Raw genomic sequence first — 1,755 nt, forward strand, 5'->3', positions numbered from 1 at the left:
ATGGCTGCACAACACGGGGATGTAATCAATGCCACTGAAACATACACTTAAAAACGGTCGCCAGGCGAGGTGGCTCACACCTGTAACCCCAGCATTTTGGGAGGCTGAGGTGGGTGGATCACCTGAGGTCAGGAGTTTGAGACCAGCTTGGTCATCATGGCAAAACCCCATCTCTACTAAAAACACAAAACTTAGCTAGATATGGTGGTGGGTGCCTGTAATCCCAGCCACTTGGGAGGCTGAGGCAGGAGAATTGCTTGAACCCAGGAGGTGGAAGCTGCAGTGAGCTGAGATCACACCACTGAACTCCAGCCTGGGTGACAGAGTGAGACCCCGTCTCAAAAAAAAAAAAAACAAAAAAGGTTAAAACTGCAAACTATATAGATGTAATCACACACACACAAGTGGAAAACACCAGTATGGTTGTCTGGTGGAGGGCACCCACCTCCCCAGGAGAGGGCTGCTGGGAAATGGTGTGGTGGGCATTTGTGGGTGGGGGTCTCTGTCCCTAGGGCAGAGCTGGAGTCATCAGGAGACCGGCAGCAGTTAGTGGAAGGAGGCCTGGGGAAGTGGCTCCAGCACCGGGCAGGAGGCAGGAGATGAGAGCAGGGAGGGGCCAGGGCTCCGAGTGCAACCGTGCCAGCGCCAGGCCCGTGGGGATATCTCCAGGCCTTGCCTCATGCCTCCCTCTGGAGCTGGCACTGGCACTCCCATCCCACAGATGAGGAAACTGAGGCTCAGAGAGGCAGAGTGACTTCGGCAAAGCCATGCCGGCAGCAGGACTCATTTATTTCCTGGCCCCTCGTGGGGCTCTTCCTTCTCCTTCTCACAGAGTATCTGGGTCCTCAGCCCAGGAATCCCATGAGGCCGGACAGCATCCTCCCAAAACGGAACTCAGTCCCCTGTCTCCTGTAACCAAAGGAAGCCACGGGGCCAGAGGAGTCCGGCCTTTCCAGATCTCGCCTGCCGTGGTCCTGTCACAAGGAGGATGCTTGCTGGCCAAGCAGGCAGAGGTAGAGACAGAGGCCCGCAGGCCGGGAGGAGGGAGAGGTAGAGGCCCACAGACCAGGAGGAGGGAGAGATGGAGGCCCACAGGCCAGGAGGAGGGAGAGACAGAGGACCACAGGCTGGGAGGAGGGAGAGGCGGAGCCCACAGAGCGGGGGAGGGAGAGGCGGAGGCCCACAGGCCGGGAGGAGGGAGAGATGGAGGCCCACATGCCAGAAGGAGGGAGAGACAGAGGACCATAGGCCAGGAGGAGGGACAGGTGGAAGCCCACAGACCGGGAGGAGGGAGAGATGGAGGCCCATAAACTGGGAGGAGGGAGAAACAGAGGCCCACAGACCGGGAGGAGGGAGACATGGAGGCCCACAAACGGGGAGAAGGGAGAGGCGGAGGTCCACATGCCGGGAGGAGGGAGAGGCAGAGACCCGCAGGCTGGGGGGAGGGAGAGGTGGAGGCCCACAGGCCAGGAGGAGGGAGAGCCGGAAGCCCACAGGCCGGGAGGAGGGAGAGACAGAGGCCCACAGGCCAGGAGGAGGGAGAGGAGGAAGCCCACAAACCAGGAGGAGGGAGAGATGGAGGCCCACAGACCAGGAGAAGGGAGAGGCAGAGGCCTGCAGGCTGGGAGGAGGGAGAGATGGAGGCCTGCAGGCTGGGAGGAGGGAGAGATGGAGGCCTGAAGGCTGGGAGGAGGGAGAGGCAGAGGCCCGCAGGCTGGGAGGAGGGAGAGATGGAGGCCTACAGGCCGGGAGGAG

This window comes from Homo sapiens, chromosome 4 (assembly GCF_000001405.40).
Source record: "Homo sapiens chromosome 4, GRCh38.p14 Primary Assembly".
Taxonomy (NCBI): domain Eukaryota; kingdom Metazoa; phylum Chordata; class Mammalia; order Primates; family Hominidae; genus Homo; species Homo sapiens.